Source organism: Homo sapiens, chromosome 16 (genome assembly GCF_000001405.40).
Source record: "Homo sapiens chromosome 16, GRCh38.p14 Primary Assembly".
Classification (NCBI taxonomy): domain Eukaryota; kingdom Metazoa; phylum Chordata; class Mammalia; order Primates; family Hominidae; genus Homo; species Homo sapiens.
This window is the reverse complement of record NC_000016.10, coordinates 2938091-2957996: the sequence shown is the minus strand read 5'-3', so window position 1 is coordinate 2957996 and position 19906 is coordinate 2938091. Positions and strand designations below refer to the sequence as shown.

Sequence of the window (19906 nt, the reverse complement as noted above, 5' to 3'; positions counted from 1 at the left end):
TCCGCCTGCCTCAGCCTCCCAAAGTGCTGGGATTACAGGCGTGAGCCACCACGCCTGGCCTCCACATGTGAATTTTATTTATTTATTTTTACGTATATATATATTTTTGAGACAGATTCTCGCTCTGTCACCCGGGCTGAAGGGCAATGGTGCCATCTGGGCTCACTACAACCTCCGCCTCCTGGGTTCAAGTGATTCTCCTGCCTCAGCCTCCCGAGAAGGTGGGATCACAGGTACCCGCCACCACATCCGGCTAGTTTTTGTATTTTTAGTAGAGACGGGGTTTCGCCATGTTGGCCAGGCTGGTCTCGAACTCCCAACCTCAAGTCATCCACTTGCCTTGGCCTCCCAAAGTGCTGGCATTACAGGCGTGAGCCACTGCACCTGGCCTCAACATGTAAATTTTAGAGGACACAACTTAACGTGTAACATCTCTTAACAATCTCTGGTCTCTTTTACACCCTGGCTGGAACCTCCTGCTCTTGCCTGGACAACTGCTCACCCGATTGACGTCTAACTCCTCACACTCACCCTTTGCCATCCTTGCCAGCAACCAGTCTTTTCTCTGGTAATTAAACACTGAACTATCAGATACATGACTGGAGAGTCATTAAACATTAAATCAGATTGTGTCTCTGGTCCGATAAGAATCCTCTGGAAACTGGCCAGGCTCAGGTGCTCACGCCTGTAACCCCAGCACTTTGGGAGGCCGAGGTGGGTGGATCACTTGAGGTCAGGAGTTCGAGACCAGCCTGGCCAACATGGTGAAACACCATCTCTACTAAAAATGCGAAAATTAGCTAGACGTGGTGACACACGCCTGTAATCCCATCTACTTAAGAGGCTGAGGCAAAAGAATCCCTTGACCCTGGGAGGCGGAGGTTTCAGTGAGCCAAGATCGCGCCACTGCACTCCAGGCTGGGTGAGGGAGCAGGGGCAAAAAAAAAAAAGAATGCTCTGGAAGCTCTCAGAACACTTCAAGGTGCTGCCTGGGCTGGCTCATGCCTCCCTCCGTGACCTCACCCCCACCACATTCCCCACACCCCAGCATGATCTCCTCCTGGTTTTCCAGGTCCGGTCCTTTCTCCGCTCTGGGCTGCTGTACTGCGGTTCCCTCAGCCTGATGTGCTTCTCCCTACATCTTCACTTAATAAATTTGTGCTGCGGAGCTCAGAGCTGCCTCCTCTGAGAAGCATTCCTTGATCTCTACCCCTCCAGCCTGCTGTCTGCCCCGCCCGCCATTGCCTCCTTAGCTGCCTGGTTCCTCTGCGCCTCCCCCACCACCTGAGGAATGGGTGACAGTGGGACACAGCAGGGGGCGAGATGACCAAAGCCAGGCTTATTTCGGTGGGATGGGGTCACTTGCTGCCGGCTTGTCCTAGATGCTCTGGTCACCAGCGTGGGCAGAGCCAGGGAGGGGCCCTGATTTGGAAACTCAGAGTTCAACTCAGCCCTTGAGCTCCTGGGTGGATTTGAAGGGGTTTTCCCATGGGGATGCTGGATGACTGGCTGTCACCCCAGTGGCTTGGCCTGCAGGACCCGCCCTTCTCAGATGAGGACCCCAAGGCTGGCAGGGCCCGGGAGTGCCCAGGGCTGGCTGGCTTCATTTGGGCCCCAGGCCAGTCGGCTCGGAATGGCTGCTGGGGCGCTAGCGGCCTTGGCCTCCAAAATGTCTGCAAGAGTTGCTGGAAGCTGCCCTGCCCTGGCTGGGCTGGGGCTCTTTCTGAATGCAGGAGTCTGTCTGTCTGTCTGTCTGCCTGTCTGTCCGAACAGCTCACTGTGTTGTTGCACAGGGGCAGGAAGGGGCCCACACGGGCAGCTCCAGGGGCTGGGGGCGGGTGAGCCAAGCCCTTTCTTCCTGTTCCTCCTGCTCAGGTTGAGGCTTCACTTTCCATGGAGAGAGGCCCCTTCCTGCACCCTGGGGAGGGAGGCTGTCCACAGGTAGGGCCAGGCCCGGTCAGTGGTGCATGGCCTGAGTAGGGTGGGGGGGCACGGGACCCCTGGAAGGTGAGAGACCAAGAGCCTTAGCTGGTCTGGGGGCTGGTGTGGGGGCGAGCAGAGCCAGTCCCGCCCTTCCCAGCAAGTGAGGACGACCATGACCTGGTTCCTGGAAGGCGGAACAAGGAGGTGAGCCACCTGCTCGACCCCGCCCACCCCCTCCTCCACGGGCCCCTCCCCCAGCACCATGGCAGATGCGGGGCTTCGCATGTCCCGGGGACCCTCATTGCCCTCAGAGTCCTGGCCACCCTCACCCTCCTGACTTTGACCTGCTGCTGTCTAAAAAGCAGTGCCCACCCCCCGGACTTTCAGCGGCTCACCCCGCTCCCCGGCTCCCCCTGCCTCAGGCCTGCAGGCCCGGTGAGGGCTCACTCGCTGGCAGGGCTGGGGGTGTCCTGTCCCCAGGAAGGCCGCAGCTGGTCTCCACTCAGTCTGAATGAGGGGTGACTGGAAGCCCCCCTCAGGGGGGCCTAGTCCCTCCTAGCTGCCTACCCCGCCATCCCCACCTCGAGGGCTTGACGGGCACTAGAAGGGCCCTCAGCTTTGGATAGAAGGAGGACCCCCACCCCACATTGCTTCACAGAAAGGAGGAGTATTTGCCTCGAACATGACAAGTGCTCAGAACAACTGTTCCTGTTGCCGGAGTGACAGGGAATCCAGGAGGGGAGGGCGGTGTAGACACAGGTGGGGCTCCTGCACTGGCCCCACAGGTGTCAGGCGTGGAGGAGGGAGGGACTGGGCAGAAGCGGCCCCTCCCCGGCCTGGGGCTTGGGATCTTTCCGGGAGACACCGAGGGAGACAGTAGAGGCCGCTCCTCCCTGCTGCGCGGCACCCCCACCCCCCCGCAGGGGTGGATGGGCACCTCGGAGGCAAGCCAGGGGCTGGTGGGGGCCGGAACAGGTGAGGAGAGGGCTGGGCAGCACCGAGCAGGTGGGGGCCTCTGGGTCCTGGCATCCCATGCTGTCCTCGGGCCTCACGGGGGACACGGCTTGGTCCCTGGCCTGCCCCCCGGGGCCTTCCCACGACCCCCGCCTCCCCAGCAGATCTGTGAGGTCCAGGCAGGCCTCTTCTCAGGACCCCAGGAAGGGCCATTTGGGCACCCCACACAGCCCCCGAGGCTTCCTGCCTTAGACTGGGCAGTACGGGGGAGGGTGGGGCCCACAGGGACTTGTCTGGAACCACATGGCTGGCAGGGCACAGCCCAGTGGGGTCCCTCCGAGCCAAGGCACTTCCACAGGAGGGCCCCCAACACCGCCTCCCAGGTCAGGGAGGGAGTTTGGTGATTAGTGAGGGGTGGGCTGGGAGCTGTGGCCGGCGGGATTCTGAGGTGGCCCCAGGATCCCCCCTCGGTGTCTCTGTGCTCCATGACCCCCTCCCTGGAGTATGGGCCACCTCTCCTGTGATTGTTCTGTGTGGCACCGGTGGAAGGACTTTTTACTTTTTTTCTTTCTACTTCTCCCGTGGTGTTGCAGTGGCGGGATTTCTGCAGGTGTGACCGGGGTTTCTAATCAGGTGACTTGGCGTTCATCAGAAGGGAGGTTGATCTGGCCGAGCCTGGCTAGCTCAGGTGCACCCTTTAAGAGGCTGGAAGCCACAGAGCCGCCCCCTCCTGATGCCAAAGAAGCATATGGCCATCGGCTCCACAGCTGCGAGAAAGATTATGCACACAACGACATGCGCTCAGGAGGGGACCTCGCGCCTCGGTTGAGATCCCAGCCCTGGCTGACACCTTGAGTGCAGCCTGTGAGACCCTGAGCAGAGGTTCAGCAGTCCCCTCCCCGGACTCCTGCCACACAGAAGCCATGAGGTAAGTGGGTGTTGTTTCGAGATGATAAATTACTAGTGATTTGTTCTGCAGCAATTGTGTGCTGGAGCGCAGAGGGGCTGGCAGGATGGGGGGTGGTGAGGGGCGAGGCTCATTAGGCAGGTTGTGGACCCCCAAAGGCTGCAGTGATAGCCCGCTCAGGTCCAACACCCTCCTCGTCAGTGGGGGCCTGGTAGGCCCTGTGCACAAAATGGCCCCGGCTACGGTTAAGTGCCTCCAGCTGGGCCCATTCCTCTGGGGCTTCAGTATGGGGAAGGGGGTGATTGGCCTCCTTCCTCGGCAGCCGGATGTGTTCTGTTGGCCACGCAGGCCGGGAAGCAGAGCAGGTGGCTGGAGGGCCGGTGGAACGGGTATCTGGAGGCAACCGTGGCTGGTGCTAGCAGCCTGAGGCCAGGGACTCTCATACCCTCTGTCTCCTGAGAACCCCCTTGGGTACGTCTGGCTTCTGGTCCTTGAACCAGGTAGTCGCACCTGATGGGAAAAACAGGGCGAGTACACCTGGGGCAGGTGTTATGCGCTTCGATTTCCACTTTTAGAGCCAGGAGCGGTGGCTCACACCTGTAATCCCACCATTTTGGGAGGCTGAGGCGGTGGATCTTTTGAGCTCAGGAGTTTGAAACCAGCCAGGGCAACATACTCTGTCTCCACAAAAAATTAAAAAATTAGGCCATGGCTCATACCTGTTATCCCAGCACTTTGTGAGGTCGAGGCGGGCGGATCACCTGAGGTCAGGAGTTCGAGACCAGCCTGACCAACATGGTGAAACCCTGTCTCTATAAAAAAAAAAAAAAAAAAAAAAAAAAAAAAAACTACAAAATTAGCCGGGGGTGGTGGCGGCACATGCCTGTAATCCCATCTACTTGGAAGGCTGAGGCAGGAGAATCGCTTGAACCTGGGAGGTGGAGGTTGCAGTGAGCCGAGATCACACCACCACACTCTAGCCTGGGCAGCAAGAGTGAAACTCTGCTTCAAAAAAAAAAAAAAAAAAAATTAAAAAACTAGCTGGGTGTGCTGGTGCACACCTGTGGTCCCAGCTATTTGGGAAGCTGAGGTGGGAGGATTGCTTGAGCTCAGGAGTTAAAGGCTGCAGTGAGCCAAGGTGGCATCACTGCACTCCAGCCTGGGTGACAGAGTGAGACTGTTTCAAAAAGGAGGCCGGGGAAAGTGTGCCTGGGCAGGTGTGTGAGCTGGCGTGTGCGCTGAGCTCATCCTGTTCTCGCTGAGCTGTGATGGGGCCGGGTTTGGCAGAGGGACAATGCAGGCGGGAGACAGGCTTGGAGACTGCTGTGCACGCCTGCCAGTGGCTGTGCCCTGCGTGAGTGCCGGGCTGAGGGATGACAGGCTTGGAGACTGCTGTGGTCACACCTGCCAGTGGGCGTGCCCTGCATGTGTGAGGGGCTGAGGGATGACAGGCTTGGAGACTGATGTGGCCACACCTGCCAGTGGCAGTGCCCTGCGTGAGTGAGGGGCTGAGGGATGGGAATGTTTATGAATACGGGGACCCAGGAAAGGGTCTCCTTTGCTGTCCTAGTGCCTTCCCCGGATTCTCCAGATCCTCTCAGCATTACACTCTAGAGAAAGGGGCCCCATCAGCTCCTTAGCACACGAGGGAAGGAGACAGACAGAGGGGCCGGGCATGGTGGCTCACACCTGTCATCCCAGCACTTTGGGAGGTTGAGGGGGGCAGTTTGCTTGAGCCCAGGAGTTGAAGACTAGCCTGACCAAGATTTTGAAACCCTTCGTCTACTAAAAGTTAAAAAATTAGCTGGGTGTGGTAGTACACACCTGTAATCCCAGCTATTCGGTAGGCTGAGGCAAGATAATTGCTTGAACCCAGGAAGTGGAGGTTGCAGTGAGCCACGATCACACCACTCAACTCCAACTTGGGCAGCAGAGTGAGACTGCCTCAAAAAAAATAAAACTAAAAAAAATAAAGGAAAACAGGCAGAGGAGAGGAAATGCTAATGGGGAAGCGGCTGCCTTTCAGGGTGATGATAATGTTCTGGAATGAGATAGTTGTGATGGATGCACAACCCTAGGAACTTACTAAAAGCCATTGATGGTCCGGGCTCTATGGCTCACACCTGTTATCCCAGCACTTTGGGAGGCCAAGGCGGGTGGATTACGAGGTCAATAGATCAAGACCATCCTGGCCGACACAGTGAAACCCGGTCTCTACTAAGAATACAAAAATTAGCTGGACATGGTGGCGTGCGCCTGTAGTCCCAGCTACTCGGGAGGCTGAGGCAGGTGAATCGCTTGAACCAGGGAGGTGGAGGTTGCAGTGAGCTGAGATCACGCCATCGCGTTCCAGCCTGGGCGACACAGCGAGACTCCATCTTAAAAAATAAATAAATAAATAAAAGACAAAGGCAGGTGGCAGGCCCTGATGACTGATGGGACACAGGACAGGCAGGGCAGCGAGGATGACTGTCTCACTCATTTGTGGTCTCCTCCCTCAGACAAGAGGATGGAGGACAATCCCCTCTGCCACCTGTGCTGCATGGTGCTTATGGGAGATGCCGGGCAGGGCCCAGGAGGCAGCTGGACATGACGTCCAGGTCTCATTTGCAGAAGGGAGGGCTGACAAACCGTGAACCCCAAAAGTGGCAGAGCAGAAGAGGGCTGAGGTCCAGCCCCCAAATCACCAACCCCCACTCCAAGGTTGGGCTGGATCAAGGCGCTCACGAAGGGGGCTGGGAGGGGAAGCCAGAAGAGCTGGCACTGGAGGGGACCTGGGAGGGCGGTCAGTGCCCACGGCCAGCTCAGAGACACACCTGCTGGCCTGAGCGACAGGGGTCCTGTGCCACTCTGTCTTGGCAGAGGAGGTGGGACAGGAGGCTAGGCTGGGACCACTGGGGAATGGGGCCCACCTTATGACTGTGGGTCAGGTCCCGGGGGGCCAGGGGCTCCCGGAACTGGCCACTGCCCCACCCCCATTTTCAAACTTAGAGTTCTTAGTTGATACGTTTCTGATGCCTTGGGGATTTATTTTAAATTTCATGAGATGTTGTTGGCACTGTCATGTCAAAGGGCACGGACACACACCATGTGGTGCAAATGTCATACAGCAGGGTTTGTGGGCGAAGCACCAGCAGAGGCAGGGCTGGAAGCAGGAGCTGCCCCGCTGAGCTGCTGCCGGGCTGCACGCTCCGCGGCCAGCGTTCACCCGCACGCTTTAACTCTGTGACAGTGACTGGGCAGGCGACATCTGGTGGCCCTGGAACTTTGCAAGGGGAAGGCTCTGAAGCTCACTTAGTGGCTGTCAGGCCCTTGTCATGGCTGAGTGGCCACCAGGGTGCGGGTTGGTGGCCATGAAGCCACCCAAGGCAACAGCATCATCTAAATTCACGTCCATTGGAGAATCTCAGCCCAGCAACGCGAGCTGCCGTCTGTCTTCTAAGGTCAAAGCAGGCGTGAGGCAGAGGAAGAGTGGGCCAGTCCCGGTCAATGACGCAAATATCCAAAAGGGAAGAGAAGCCGATATTCTTCCTCTGATTCGCCTCATACCCGCTTAGGGGTGCCCAGAGCAGGGCATGGCATCATGTGACCATGGCGGGAAGATGCTGGCCGTGGAGGCCCCATCACAGAGGCAAGGAGCCCACAGGTGGAGGGCGCAGGCTTGGCAGGTAGCAGAGGCTGCAGTGACTCAGGCTGCTGTGACCCGGGCGTTTCTCTCGTATCTTGGGCATGTGGAGAGCTTCCCCTTCTGCAGGGGGCCTGATCAGAGGTCCAGCTGGTGGCGGCATGAACTGGACCATCTTTCAGCAAGTACCTTCCTCGGGCATGGCTGCCTCCTGTGGGCGTACACATTTGGACCACACAGTGGGAGTCGGGATTGGAGTACTGGGTCTGTAGCCTTGGCCATGAGTCCAGCTGGGGGCAGTTAGGTCAGCCTCGGGGCAGGATGCTTCAGGGCCGAGAACAGTGCCCAAAGCGCAGCCACTGTGTTGTGTGTCCTCTGCCATAGGCAAAGGATGGACGGGTGGGCAAGTCTGCCCTTGGCCCAGGGGTGCCACTTGCCCAGGCTTATGCAGATGAGTCTAGGCGTAACGCAGGCTAATGGCGAGAACAGAGCATCCTGCCTCTTCCAGCAACACGACGCAAATGTCCTGCCATATCCGGGCCTGGGAGAGGCCACAGGCTGCAGCTGGCCCCCCAGCAGCCCTTCCAGAGGCCCCAACCCCAGGTGTCTCCGTCCACTCTTGGTCCAGGTTACGTCTGGGCCAGGTGACTGTAACAGCCCAGGCATGGGGAGGGGTCTCCCCCTGGGCACTGGCATGGAGATGTGACGGAGTGTGGTTTCACGGCGGCCAACTGTTGCTGCAAGAGGGATGTGAACAAGTACCAGCTCCACACGGTGAGATGGAAAATAGGATTTATTGGGGGAACCGTACAAGCAGAGGAGAAGCAGGGGTGCCCAGGCTGTCACAGCCTTGCAGTGCATGGTGGGTTCCGTGGCCAACTTGCCAGGGGACAGGCCTGTTGCTGGCACTCCCCCCACAATTACAGGGTGGGAGTGAAGGACCTCGCGGCTGCGGACAGGTCCTTGTTAGTAAGGAGGAGGCTCTGCAGTCCCGGTGGGGTCATCTTGCCTCTCCGGACTGCTCCCTCTGACTGGTGAAGCCACACTCTGTGAAGCTGTCTGACAGAAGGGGACACGCCTTTGCTGCCCAGGATGGACCTGGGCCACCCAGGATGCCGCTGGCCTCAGCCAGGGCACGTGTGCCCAGCGCTGGCTCCTGCTGACCCCTGGACTGGCTCCCATCTCGGGAATGACGCCTGCCGTGGGAATCGTGGAGAGGGGGTTTAATTTAACTTGGAAGGAGCACAGAAAGGAAAGTGTGGAGTGCGGAGCGAGGCCTCTGGTTTGGCCAGCTCCGGTTGCTGGGGATGGCCACACCCTGGCAGCAGGCGGCCAGAGACCAGGAAGGCCTACCCAGCACCTGTCCAGAAGAGATTGGTGTGGGTTGACCTGGCCTATGCGGGGCAGCTCAGTTTGAAGCAGGAACTTCCCCAAACGTGCCCAGGCTCCAAGACAGCAGCATTCACTTTGCACCGTGCTGAGCAGAGCGGGGCCTCGCCAGGTGGAAAGCCCTAGGAAGGCTGCGTGCTCTGCAAACCCAGGGGTGCTGTGGCCGTACAGCAGGGGCGTCCGTGTCCAGGCAGCTTTGTCATGTCTTCCAAAGGTCAGGAAGGCGCCACCGCCCTGCCCCACGACAGCTGCGTCTGCAAGCGCCAGCTCTGAGCACTGTTCTCCGCCGACATGAGGACACCATCCAAGAATTCCTCCTGGGAGACCTCCTGAGGAGACGCGAAGACCATCGATGCTTTGGAAGAATGAAAAGAAGTTTCTGCTAAGCCAAACCTAGGTGGATGGGAAGTGCCTGTGTGGATGTGAAGCCACCTTGGGTGGGCGGCTCGGAGCTCCTCTGCCCACATCGCCTCACTGGGACTCGCCATCCAGTCTGACGTCTTTGATGTCCCTAATTACAAAGAGACACATGTTCATTGCACACATCAAAACATGGTGGAAATAGATAACACAGAAAGTTCAGGATTCCTGGAATCCTTTTTCCTGGGGATGCCACAGTCTAGAACATTTATTTTTGAGACGGAATCTTGCTCTGTCACCCAGGCTGGAGTGCAGTGGTGCGATCTCGGCTCACTGCACCCCCCGCCTCCTGGGTTCAAGTGATTCTCCCACCTCAGCCTCCTGAGTAGCTGGGACTACAGGTGCATGCCATCATGCTCAGCTAATTTTTTTTTTGTATTTTATTAGAGACGGGGTTTCACCATGTTGGCCAGGATGGTCTCGATCTCCTGACCTCAGGTGATCCACCCACCTCCGCCTACCAAAGTGCTGGGATTACAGGCATGAGCCACCTCACCTGGCTGATCATTTTTACACACACATCCATCCATCCGTATCAATTCCTTTACAACATGAGGTTGCTTCGTGACACACACCTGGGGAATTCCCTGCTTCCCACACCAGCATGTTTGGGGGAGAACCACCCAACACTTCCAAAAAGTTTCAATTCGTGCCCTAGAAGCCACAGGCCATCACACCCAAGCCTCAAGGTTCTTCATCAAGAAACACAAAGTTCTCCTTTAATTAATTTTCTTTTTTGAGATATGGTGTCACTCTGTCACCCAGGCTGGAGTGCAGTGGTGCCATCAGAGCTCACTGCAGCCTCCACCTCCTGGGCTCCAGTGATCCTCCCACCTCAGCCTCCCAAGTAGCTGGGACCACAGGTGCACACCACCACATCTGGCTAATTAAAAAAAAAATTTTTTTTTGTAGAGATGGGGTTCTCCCTGTGTTGCTCAAGCTGGTCTCGAACTCCTGAACTCATGTGATCAGGTTCTGTTTTAGTACTGTAAGGGATTTTTTTTTTTTTTTTTTTGAGATAAGAGTTTTGCTCTTGTTGCCCAAGCTGGAGTGCAATGGCGCAATCTCTGCTCACTGCAACCTCTACCTCCCAGGTTCAAGCGATTCTCCTGCCTCAGCCTCATGAGTAGCTGGGATTATAGGTGCGTGCCACCACGCCCAGCTAATTTTTTGTATTTTTAGTAGAGATGGGGTTTCACCATGTTGGCCAGGCTGGTCTCAAACTCCTGAACTCAGGTGATCCACCTTCCTCAGCCTCCCAAAGTGCTGGCATGACTGGCGTGAGCCACTGTACCTGGCTGGGATTTTTGCTTTTTAAGAGCTCTACTGAGCTATAATTCACATCCCATAAAATCCGTTAAGTGTACAATTCAGAGTTGTACAACCATCACTGCAATCACATTTAGAACATTTCACCTCCCACCAAAAGAAACCCCAAATCCTTAGTGTCACTCCTCAGCTTCCCTTGCCCCAGGCAGCCACTAATCTTTCTGTCTCTCTAAATGTGCCTATTCTGGGCATTTCGTAAGAACAGAATTACATACACTCTGTGTGCTTTGTGACTGGCTTCTTTAAGATGGTGTTTTCAAGGTGCATCCTCATTGTAGCATGCGTCAGTACTTCGTTCCTTTTTATGGACAATATTTCATCGTATAAATAGACTGTATTTCATTCATTGATGGACATTTTGGGCTTTCAATTTTTGCCTATTAGGAATAATGTTGATATGAACATTTGTGTATACTTCTGTGTGGACATGTGTTTTCAGTTCTCCTGGGTACATACCTAGGAGTGGAATTGCTGGGTCATAGGGTACCTCTATGTTGAACATTAAGAACTCCCAGAGTGTTTTCCAAAGTGGCTGGGCCATTTTGCATCGTCGCCAAGAGAGTATGAGGGTTCCAGTTTCTCCATGTCGTCACCAACACTTGTTAGCTGTCTTTTTAAATAGCCATCCCAGTGGGTGTGAAGTGGTCTGTCACAGTGGTCTTGATTTGCATTTCCCTGAGACTGATGAAGTTGAGAATCTATCCCTATCGGCCATTTGTATATCTTTGAATTCATGGCAGAAATCAAATCTTCTGTGGGAAACTATATATTCAGGTCCTTTGGCCATTTGTTAATTGGGTTGTCTTTTCATTGTTGTAAGAATTCTGGGCCAGGCACAGTGGCTCACTCCTATAATCCCAGCACTTTGGGAGGCTGAGGCAGGTGGATCACCTGAGGTCAAGAGTACGAGACCAGCCTGGCCAACATGGTGAAACCCCATCTCTACTAAAAATACAAAAAATTAGCCAGGTGTGGTGACACACGCCTGTAATCCGAGCTACTCAGGGGGCTGAGGGAGGAGAATCGCTTGAACCTGGGAGGCGGAGGTTGCAGTGAGCCGAGATCTCACCACTGCAGTCCAGCCTGGGGGACAGAACGAGACTCCATCTCAAAAAAAAAAAAAAAAAAAAAAAGTACAGCCCACCTATACAGGGCATGAATTATGAATGGAGCTTGCAGGGTGGGAAGTTGCTGTGGGTGGGTGAGTGAACGTGGAGGCCTAAAGCATTAGTGTATGTCCTGCACACTTAGTATACAACACTCAACACTCAGGCTACACTCATTTTTAAACACTTTCTTCAGTAATAAATTAACCTAAGCTTACTGTAACTTGATGTTTAAACTTTTTGCTTTTTTTAATTACACTCAGTTTAAAACACAAATACATTGTACAGCTGTACAAAAATATTTTCTTTAGAACCTCATTCTACAAGCTTTTATTTATTTATTTTTTGACATGGAGTCTCGCTCTGTTGCCCAGGCTGGAGTGCAGTGTCGCAATCTCGGCTCACTGCAAGCTCTGCCTCCCGGGTTCACGCCATTCTCCTGCCTCAGCCTCCCGAGTAACTGGGACTACAGGCACCTGCCACCACGCTCGGCTAATTTTTTGTATTTTTAGTAGAGATGGGATTTCACCATGTTAGCCAGGATGGTCTTGATCTCCTGATCTCATGATCTGCCCACCTTGGCCTCCCAAAGTGCTGGGATTACAGGCATGAGCCACCGCACCCGGCCTCTATAAGCTTTTATTTTTAAGGATTTTAAAATTTTTAAGTTGGACTTTAATTTTTTGAGACAGTATTTTTTTTTTTTTTTTTGAGATGTAGTCTTCCAGGCTGGAGAGCAGTGGCACGATCTCGGTGCACTGCCACGATCTCAGTGCACTGCAGCCTCAGCTTCCCAAGTAGCTGGGATTACAGGTGTGTGCCACCATGCCTGGCTAATTTTTTTTTTTTTTTTTTTTTGAGATGGAGTCTCGCTCTGCCACCAGGCTGGAATGCAGTGGCATGAATGTCGGCTCACTGCAACCTCCAACTCCCTGGTTCAAGCAATTCTCCTACCCCAGCCTCCCGAGTAGCTGGGATTACAGGCACACGCCACCACGCCCAGCTGATTTTTGTATTTTTAGTAGAGACGGGATTTTACCGTGTTAGCCCGGACGGTCTTGATCTCCTGACCTCGTGATCCGCCTGCCTCGGCCTCCCAAAGTGCTGGGATTACAGGCGTGAGCCACTGTACCTGGCTAATTTTTGTATTTTTAGTAGTAGAGATGGAGTTTCTTCACGTTGGCCAGGCTGGTTTTGAACTCCTGACCTCAAGTGATCCACCCACCTCAGCCTCCCAAAGTGCTGGGATTACAGGTGTGAGCCACCATGCCCGGCCAAGGATTTGAATTTTTTGCTTAAAAACTAAGACACACACTATCCTAGGCCTGCACAGGGTCAGGGTCATCCATGTCACCATCTTCGACCTCCACATCTTGTCCCACTGGAAGGTCTTCAGGGACAATAATACATTTAGAGCTGTCATCTCCTATGACGACAGTGCCTTCTTTTGGATACCTCCAAAAAGTCTTGAAGGACCTGCCTGAGGCCGTTTTACAGTTAAAAAAAATTTTTTTTTTTTTTTGATACAGAGTCTCACTCTGTTGCCCAGGCTGGAGGGCAGTGGCACCATCTCAGCTCACTGCAACCTCCACCTCCCAGGTTAAGCGATTCTCACGCCTCAGCCTCCCAAGTAGCTGGGATTACAGGCTGGCGCCACCATGCCTAGCTAATTTTTGTATTTTTAGTAGAGACGGGGTTTCACCATGTTTCCCAAGCTGGTCTGGAACTCCTGACCTCAGGGGATCTGCCTGCCTCAGCCTACCAAAGTGCTGGGATTATAGGTGTGAGCCAATGCTGTGGCTGGCCTACAGTTGACTTTTTAAATAAGTAGGAGTATATTCTAAAGTAATGATAAAAAGTATAGTAAATAATCTAATAACATATTTATTATCATTATCAAATATTAGGTACTATACATAATTGTATGTGATCTTTTTTTTTTTTTTTTTGAGATGGAGTTTCACTCTTGTCACCCAGGCTGGATGGAGTGCAATGGCACAATCTCGGCTCACCACAACCTCCACCTCCCAGTTTCAAGCGATTCTCCTGCCTCAGCCTCCCAAGTAGCTGGGATTACAGGTGCGCTGTACCTGTAGCCAAGCCTGGCTATTGTATTTTTAGTAGAGACGGAGTTTCTCCATGTTCCCCAGGCTGGTCTGGAATTCCTGACCTCAGGTGATCCGCCCGCCTCAGCCTCCCAGAGTGCTGGGATGACAGGTGGGAGCTGTCGTGCTCTACTTTTATTTCTGAGACAGGTTCTCTCTCCGTCCGCTGGGCTGGAGTGTAGATGCATGATCACAGCTCACTGCAGCCTCAACCTCCCAGGCTCAGGTGACACTTCCATCTCAGCCTCCGAAGTAGCTGGGCATGTACCACCACACACAGCTAATTTTTAAATTTTTTTGTAGAGACGGGATCTCACTATGTTGCCCAGGCTGGAGTGCAATGTCGTGATCTTGGCTCACTGCAACCTCCACCTCCCGGGTTCAAGTGATTCTCCTGCCTCAGCCTTCCAAGTAGCTGGGATTACGGGTGCTCGCCACCACGCCTGGCTAATTTTTTGTATTTTGAGTAGAGACAGAGTTTCACTATGTTGGCCAGGCTGGTCTCGAACGCCTGACCTCAGGTCATCCGCCCACCTCGGCCTCCCAAAGTACTGGGATTACAGGCGTGAACCCCCGCGCCTGGCCTGCTTGTGGGGGTTTTCACGGATGCTCTTGATCAGGCTGAAGAAACTCCTTTTATTCCTAGTTTGTTGAATGTTTTTATCATGAAAGCGTGTTGGAGGTTGTCAAATGTTTTGTGTCTATTCAGTGATCACACGGTTTTTGTCCTTTTCTCTACTGATCTGGTATGCAGGCATCCCCATCACACACTAGGCTTGGTGACTGCACTTGAGGGACTCACAGGACTTAGCCTACCATCATACTAGTGGCTGGGATTTACTACGGTGAAAAGATGCGACGCAGAATTAGTAACAGGAAGATGCATTTGGGGTGAGGGCCGGAGGAAACCAGGTACAAGCCCCCAGAGTCCCCTCCCCTGGGGTCCCCTCCCGCAGAATGTGCTGAATCCTCCAGCCTCGAGCTGTGACATGTGCAAAGTGTTCTCTACCAGGGAAGCCTGCCTGAGCCCAGGAGTCCAGGGTTTTCACTGGGGGTTGCTCATGTAGGTACGTTGTGCCTGCGTGACTGAATATGGTCACCGAAATGCCAGGCTCAGAAGAAAAGCAAGTGTTCAGCAAATATCACATGATTTGTATAGAAAAGAGTGAGCAGTTGTTATTTGGGGATAGTATTGTATCCACATAGGAGCTCTTTACCAGTCAAGTTCCCAGATGCCAGCTGGGCGTGGTGGCTCATGCCTGTAATCCCAGCACTTTAGGAGTCCGAGGCGGGTGGATCACTTGAGGTCGGGAGTTCGTGACCAGCCTAGCCAACATAGCGAAACCCCGTCTCCACTAAAAATACAAAAATTAGCTGAGCGTGGTGGTGCGCACTTCTAATCCCAGCTACCTGGGATCACTCACAGTGATCTTGCAGTGAGCCAAGATCACACCACTGCACTCCAGCCTGGGCGACAGAGTGAGACTCCGTCTCAAAAAAAAAAAAAAAAAAAAAAAAGTTCCCAGATGCCAGCCAAGGGTGAACCTTGCACACAGGCTGTTCTTAGGGCAGCAGTCTCAGGCCTGCTGTGTTACATTAATTGGTTTTGCATGTTGATGCATTCCTGGGATAAATCTTACTTGGTCATGGTATATAATCCTTTTTTATGTTGCTGGATTCTGTTTGCTGGTATTCTACGTTCCTAAGAAATACTGGTCTGTAGTTTTCTCTTTGTGATTCCTTTGCTTGGTTTTGATATCAGGGTGATACTGGTCTTAGAGAATGAGCTGGGGCCAAGCATTGCGGCTCATGCTTGTAATGCCAGCACTTTGGGAGGCCAAGGCAGGTGGACTGATTGAGCCCAGGAGTTGGAGACCAGCCTGGACAACATGGGAAAACCCCGTTTCTACTAAAAATAGAAAAATTAGCCAGGCGTGGTGGTGCGTGCATGTAGTCCCAGCTACTCAGGAGGGTGAGGTTCAAGTGAGCTGAGATGGCACCACTGCACTCCAGCCTGGGTGTCAGAATGAGACTCTGCCAGAATGAGGTCCATAGTAAGGTCTCATCTTTATTCCTGATTTTAGTATTTTCAGTATTCTTGCTTTTCAATTTTTTTGATCTGTAGATAGAGCTAAATATTTGTCAATTTTATTGATCCTTATACAGAACCAACTTTTGGTTTCATTTATTATTTATTTCCTTCCTTCTGCTTCAGTTTTTTTTTTTTTTTTTTTTTTTTTTTTGAGATGAGTCTTGCTCTGTCGCCCAGGCTGGAGTGCAGTGGCGCAATCTCGACTCACTGCAACCTCCACCTCCTGGGTTCAAGCAATTCTCCTGCTACAGGCTCCCACCACCACGCCTGGCTAATTTTTCTATCTTTAGTAGAGATGGGGTTTCACCATGTTGGTCAGGCTGGTCTTGAACCCGTGGTCTCGTGATCTACCTCCCTCGGTCTCCCAGTGTGCTGGGATTACAGGTGTGAGCCACCACGCCCAGACTTTTAGTTCTTTTTTTTTTAGTTTTTCTATTTTTTGTGGAGATGAGGTCTTGCCCATGCTAGTATGGAACTCCTGGGCTCAAGCGATCCTCCCACCCTAGCCACCCAAAATGCTAGGATTACAGGTGTGAGCCACCATGCTTGGCCCTGTTTATTCATTTAGAGATGGGATCTTGCTCTGTCTCCCAGGCTGGAGTGCAGTGGTACAATCATGCTTCACTGCAGCCTCAATCTCCCAGGTTCAAGCGATACTACCAGCACATGCTACCATGACTGGCTGAGTTTTTGGCAGAGACGAGGTCTCACCATGTTGCCCAGGCTTCTTCCTTTTTAATAGAAGTGTTTTTAGCTATAGATTTCCCTCTAAGCACGGCTTTCAGTGCATCCCATAAGTTTTATTTCAAAGTATTTTATAATTATCTTCTTTGGCTCATTGTTTTGTTTGTTTTAAATTACACACAGGGTCATGCTCTGTTGCCCCAACTGGTTTCAAACTCCTGGGCTCAAGTGATCCTCCTGCCTCTGCCTCCCAGAGTGTTGAGATTACAGGCGTGAGCCACCATGCCCAGTCTGACTCACTGGTTTCTTATAAGTGTGTTCTTTAATTTCTACGTATTTCTGAGTTTCCCAAATTTCTCTGTTTTTGATTTGGTTTTTGTTTGTCACCTAGGCTGGAGTGCAGTGGCACAATCTTGGCTCACTGCAACCTCTGCCTCCCGAATAGCTTGGATTACATGCATGTACCACCATGCCTGACTAATTTTTGTATTTTTAGTAGAGATGGGGTTTCACCATGTTGGCCAGGCTGGTCTCGAACTCCTGACCTCAAATGATCTGCCTGCCTTGGCCTCCCAAAGTGCTGGAATTACAAATGATCTGCCTGCCTTGGCCTCCCAAAGTGCTGGAATTACAGGTATGAGCCACTGTATCCAGCCGTGAAAGGACTGAAATGATACAAAGTATGTTCTTTGACCATAGTGGGATGTAATTACAAACCAATAACAAGGCTGGGCACAGTGGCTCTTGCCTGTAATCCCAGCACTCGGGAGACCCGAGACAGGAGGATCATTTGAGGTCAGAAGTTTGAGACTCAGCCTGGCCACCATGATAAAACCCTATCTCTACTGCAAATACAAAAATCAGCTCGGTGTGGTGGTACATGCCTGTAATCCCAGCTACTCAGGGGGCTGAGACAGGAGAATTGCTTGAACCCGGAAGGTAGAGTTTGCAGTGAGCTGAGATCATGCCGCTGTACTCCAGCCTGGGCCACACACAGACTCCATCTCAAAAAATAAAATAATGGACTCTTGCTTTATGGCCTGGCTGTGGTTGAGAAGAACCTGAATTCTGCTGCTGGCAGCTTCCCTCTTGTTCTCTCTCTGTCCCATGGCTGTCATGTGAAGGATGCTCAAGTGGGCCCAAGGAGGGGTCCCTATGGTGAGGAGCAGGGCCTCCAGCCTCACTTGGGCCTTCAGATGACTGCCACCCTGGCTGACAAATTCTCTTCAACCTCAGGAGTCAGAACCACCCAGCCCAACCACTCCCATAATGTTGACCCACAAAAGCTGAGACAGCAAATATTTGTTGTTTTAAGCCCACTACGTTTTGTTGTAATTGGTCATGCACCATTAGATAACAAATACAATTACCCATAAATCTGCTGGCTTTCAGGAGAACACGTCTTGAAGCACAGCTGAACTTGAATCTTTTCTGTGGAAAAATAATTGAAAATATGAATTAATAATTCTTCTCTTGTTGAAGCTGACAGAACCAAGGACACACACCTTGTTAACGACGCCCTCAAGGCTGTGAGGAGAAAGACAACCGGGTGAAGCAACGCTGGGAATTCAACGCATCAATTACCTTCCCAGGTAACAGCAGCTACTTGAGCTCCTAAGAGTTGACCTTCAGCTGCTGTCATGGAAAATAGTGGGGGTCAACTAGACATCAAAGATGAAAGGCCAGGCCTCCAGCACAACTTTCTCTGTAAGCTCGATAGTGGCTTTCTCAAAGAAATCCTTTTCTCAAAAAAATTTCTTGTAAAGACAGGGTCTTGTTCTGTCACCCAGGCTGGACTGCAGTGCATGGCTCACTGCAGCCTCAACCTCCCGGGCTAGAGTGATCCTCCCCTTTTCTGAGGAGCTCAGACCACAAGCGTGCACCACTGTGCCCAGCTGATTTATAAACTTTTTTTTTAGAGACAGGGTTTCACCATGTTGGCCAGGCTGTTTTCTTTCAAGGTTTCACCATGTTGGCCAGGCTGTTTTCTTTTCTTCTCTTTTTTTGAGATGGAGTTTCACTCTTGTTGCCCAGGCTGGAGGGCAGTGGCGCGATCTTGGCTCACTGCAACCTCCGCCTCCCAGGTTCAAGTGATTCTCCTGCCTCCCAAGCAGCTGGGATTACAGCGTAGCTGGGATTACAGGCATGCGTCACCATGTCCAGCTAATTTTGTATTTTTAGTAGAGACGGGGTTTCTCCATGTTGATCAGGATGGTCTCGAACTCCTGACCTCAGGTGATCCGCCTGCCTCAGCCTCCCAAAGTGCTGGGATTACAGGCGTGAGCCACTGTGCCTGGCCAACTTGGATTTGTTACTGTTATACAGGACATGGCCCTTAATATTCACATGAATGACAGTGAGACACACAATGCTTTCTAAAGATTGGTTTTGGCCGGGTGTGGTGGTGCACACCTGTAATCCCAGTTACTCGGGAGGCTGAGGCAGGAGAATCACTTGAACCCAGGAGGCAGAGGTTGCAGTGAGCCAAGATGGCTCCATTGCACTCCAGCCTGGGCAACAAGAGCAAAACTCTGACTCAAGAAAAAAAAAAGGTTGGGCACAGTGACTCACGCCTGTAATCCTAGCACTTTGGGAGGCCAAGACAGGCGGATCACGAGGTCAGAAGATCAAGACCATCCTGGCTAACATGGTGAAACCCCGTCTCTACTAAAAATACAAAAAATTAGCTGGGCTTGGTGGCAGGCACCTGTAGTCCCAGCTACTCGGGAGGCTGAGGCAGGAGAATGGTGTGAACCCGGGAGGCGGAGCTTGCAGTGAGCCGAGATCGCGCCAGTGCACTCCAGCCTGGGCAACAGAGCAAGACTCAGTCTCAAAAAAAAAAAAAAAAAAAAAAACAAAGACTGGTTTCACATTCTGTTTATATGAATAATTTGTGTGTGCACAAAAGCAGTCTGCTCAGTGGGTGCCTGGCCTGGGGCATCAGTTCTGAGCTGGAAGAGATGAGGATGCCCACAGCCCTGCCTCTGCCCCACAGCCTGCCTGTACCTGGGTCCTCCTGCTGGGCCGTGGTGGGGAGCCGCTCCCGTTGCCTCAAGGCCTCCAGGCCTGCCAGGTCAGGCTGATGGCAGTGGCTGCGCATGACCATGATGCGGTGGCCCTGGGTTATGGCGCGGCTGCGGCAGCCCAGCCGAGCCTGGTCCCGGCACATCCAGTACACCTTCTCCCCAGCCGCCTTCTCCTTCCTGTAGAGGAAGGACTCGTGCACCAGGAACCTGCCCCCCAGGGAAGTCCTCAGGAACTCCAGGGGCCGGAGAGGATCTGAAAGGGAAAGTGACACTGTGAGTGGGGCCACAGGGGCCTGGGTGGCAGGGCTGGGGGTCTGATTTGTATCCCCCAGCCAGGCCCCACCAG

General features: G+C 52.9%; 1 protein-coding gene and 1 long non-coding RNA gene across 26 annotated transcripts in view, besides 3 other annotated features; one reads left to right on the top strand and one right to left on the bottom strand.

Annotated features, from left to right (window-relative positions):
- Positions 850-1769: an enhancer, noted in NCBI's record as "H3K27ac-H3K4me1 hESC enhancer chr16:3006229-3007148 (GRCh37/hg19 assembly coordinates)". NCBI's record gives its function as "activates a minimal SCP1, AML or CMV promoter by ChIP-STARR-seq in naive H9 embryonic stem cells {active_cell/tissue: H9 hESC(naive)}" and the evidence as "EXISTENCE:reporter gene assay evidence [ECO:0000049][PMID:30033119]".
- Positions 1770-2691: an enhancer, noted in NCBI's record as "H3K27ac-H3K4me1 hESC enhancer chr16:3005307-3006228 (GRCh37/hg19 assembly coordinates)". NCBI's record gives its function as "activates a minimal SCP1, AML or CMV promoter by ChIP-STARR-seq in naive H9 embryonic stem cells {active_cell/tissue: H9 hESC(naive)}" and the evidence as "EXISTENCE:reporter gene assay evidence [ECO:0000049][PMID:30033119]".
- FLYWCH1-AS1 (FLYWCH1 antisense RNA 1) lies at positions 1840-19534 on the top strand. 3 transcript variants are annotated; one of them, XR_007064947.1, is made up of 4 exons: positions 1840-2127; positions 3471-3805; positions 14513-14670; positions 18017-19534. It is a non-coding gene; the product is annotated as an FLYWCH1 antisense RNA 1 (long non-coding RNA). The 3 variants fall into 3 exon arrangements; XR_933011.3 differs by lacking the exon at positions 14513-14670 and having other exon boundaries at positions 1846-2127; XR_933012.3 differs by lacking the exons at positions 1840-2127; positions 14513-14670 and adding an exon at positions 2799-2898.
- The window catches only part of FLYWCH1 (FLYWCH-type zinc finger 1), a 39278-nt gene continuing 26160 nt past the window's right edge, over positions 6789-19906 (bottom strand). For 20 of the 23 annotated variants that reach the window (XM_047434780.1, XM_047434784.1, XM_047434776.1 and 17 more), the window contains 3 exons: positions 19541-19813; positions 17905-17965; positions 6789-9309 (listed from right to left, as the gene is read on the bottom strand). In XM_047434780.1, coding sequence (XP_047290736.1) covers positions 9270-9309; positions 17905-17965; positions 19541-19813 — 374 coding nt within the window. In that variant the 3' untranslated portion in view covers positions 6789-9269. Of the gene's footprint in view, positions 9310-17835; positions 17966-19540; positions 19814-19906 lie in introns of those variants that run through there. The other 3 variants (XM_047434774.1, XM_047434785.1, NM_020912.2) reach the window with 1 other exon arrangement.
- Positions 19193-19806: an enhancer, noted in NCBI's record as "H3K4me1 hESC enhancer chr16:2988192-2988805 (GRCh37/hg19 assembly coordinates)". NCBI's record gives its function as "activates a minimal SCP1, AML or CMV promoter by ChIP-STARR-seq in naive H9 embryonic stem cells {active_cell/tissue: H9 hESC(naive)}" and the evidence as "EXISTENCE:reporter gene assay evidence [ECO:0000049][PMID:30033119]".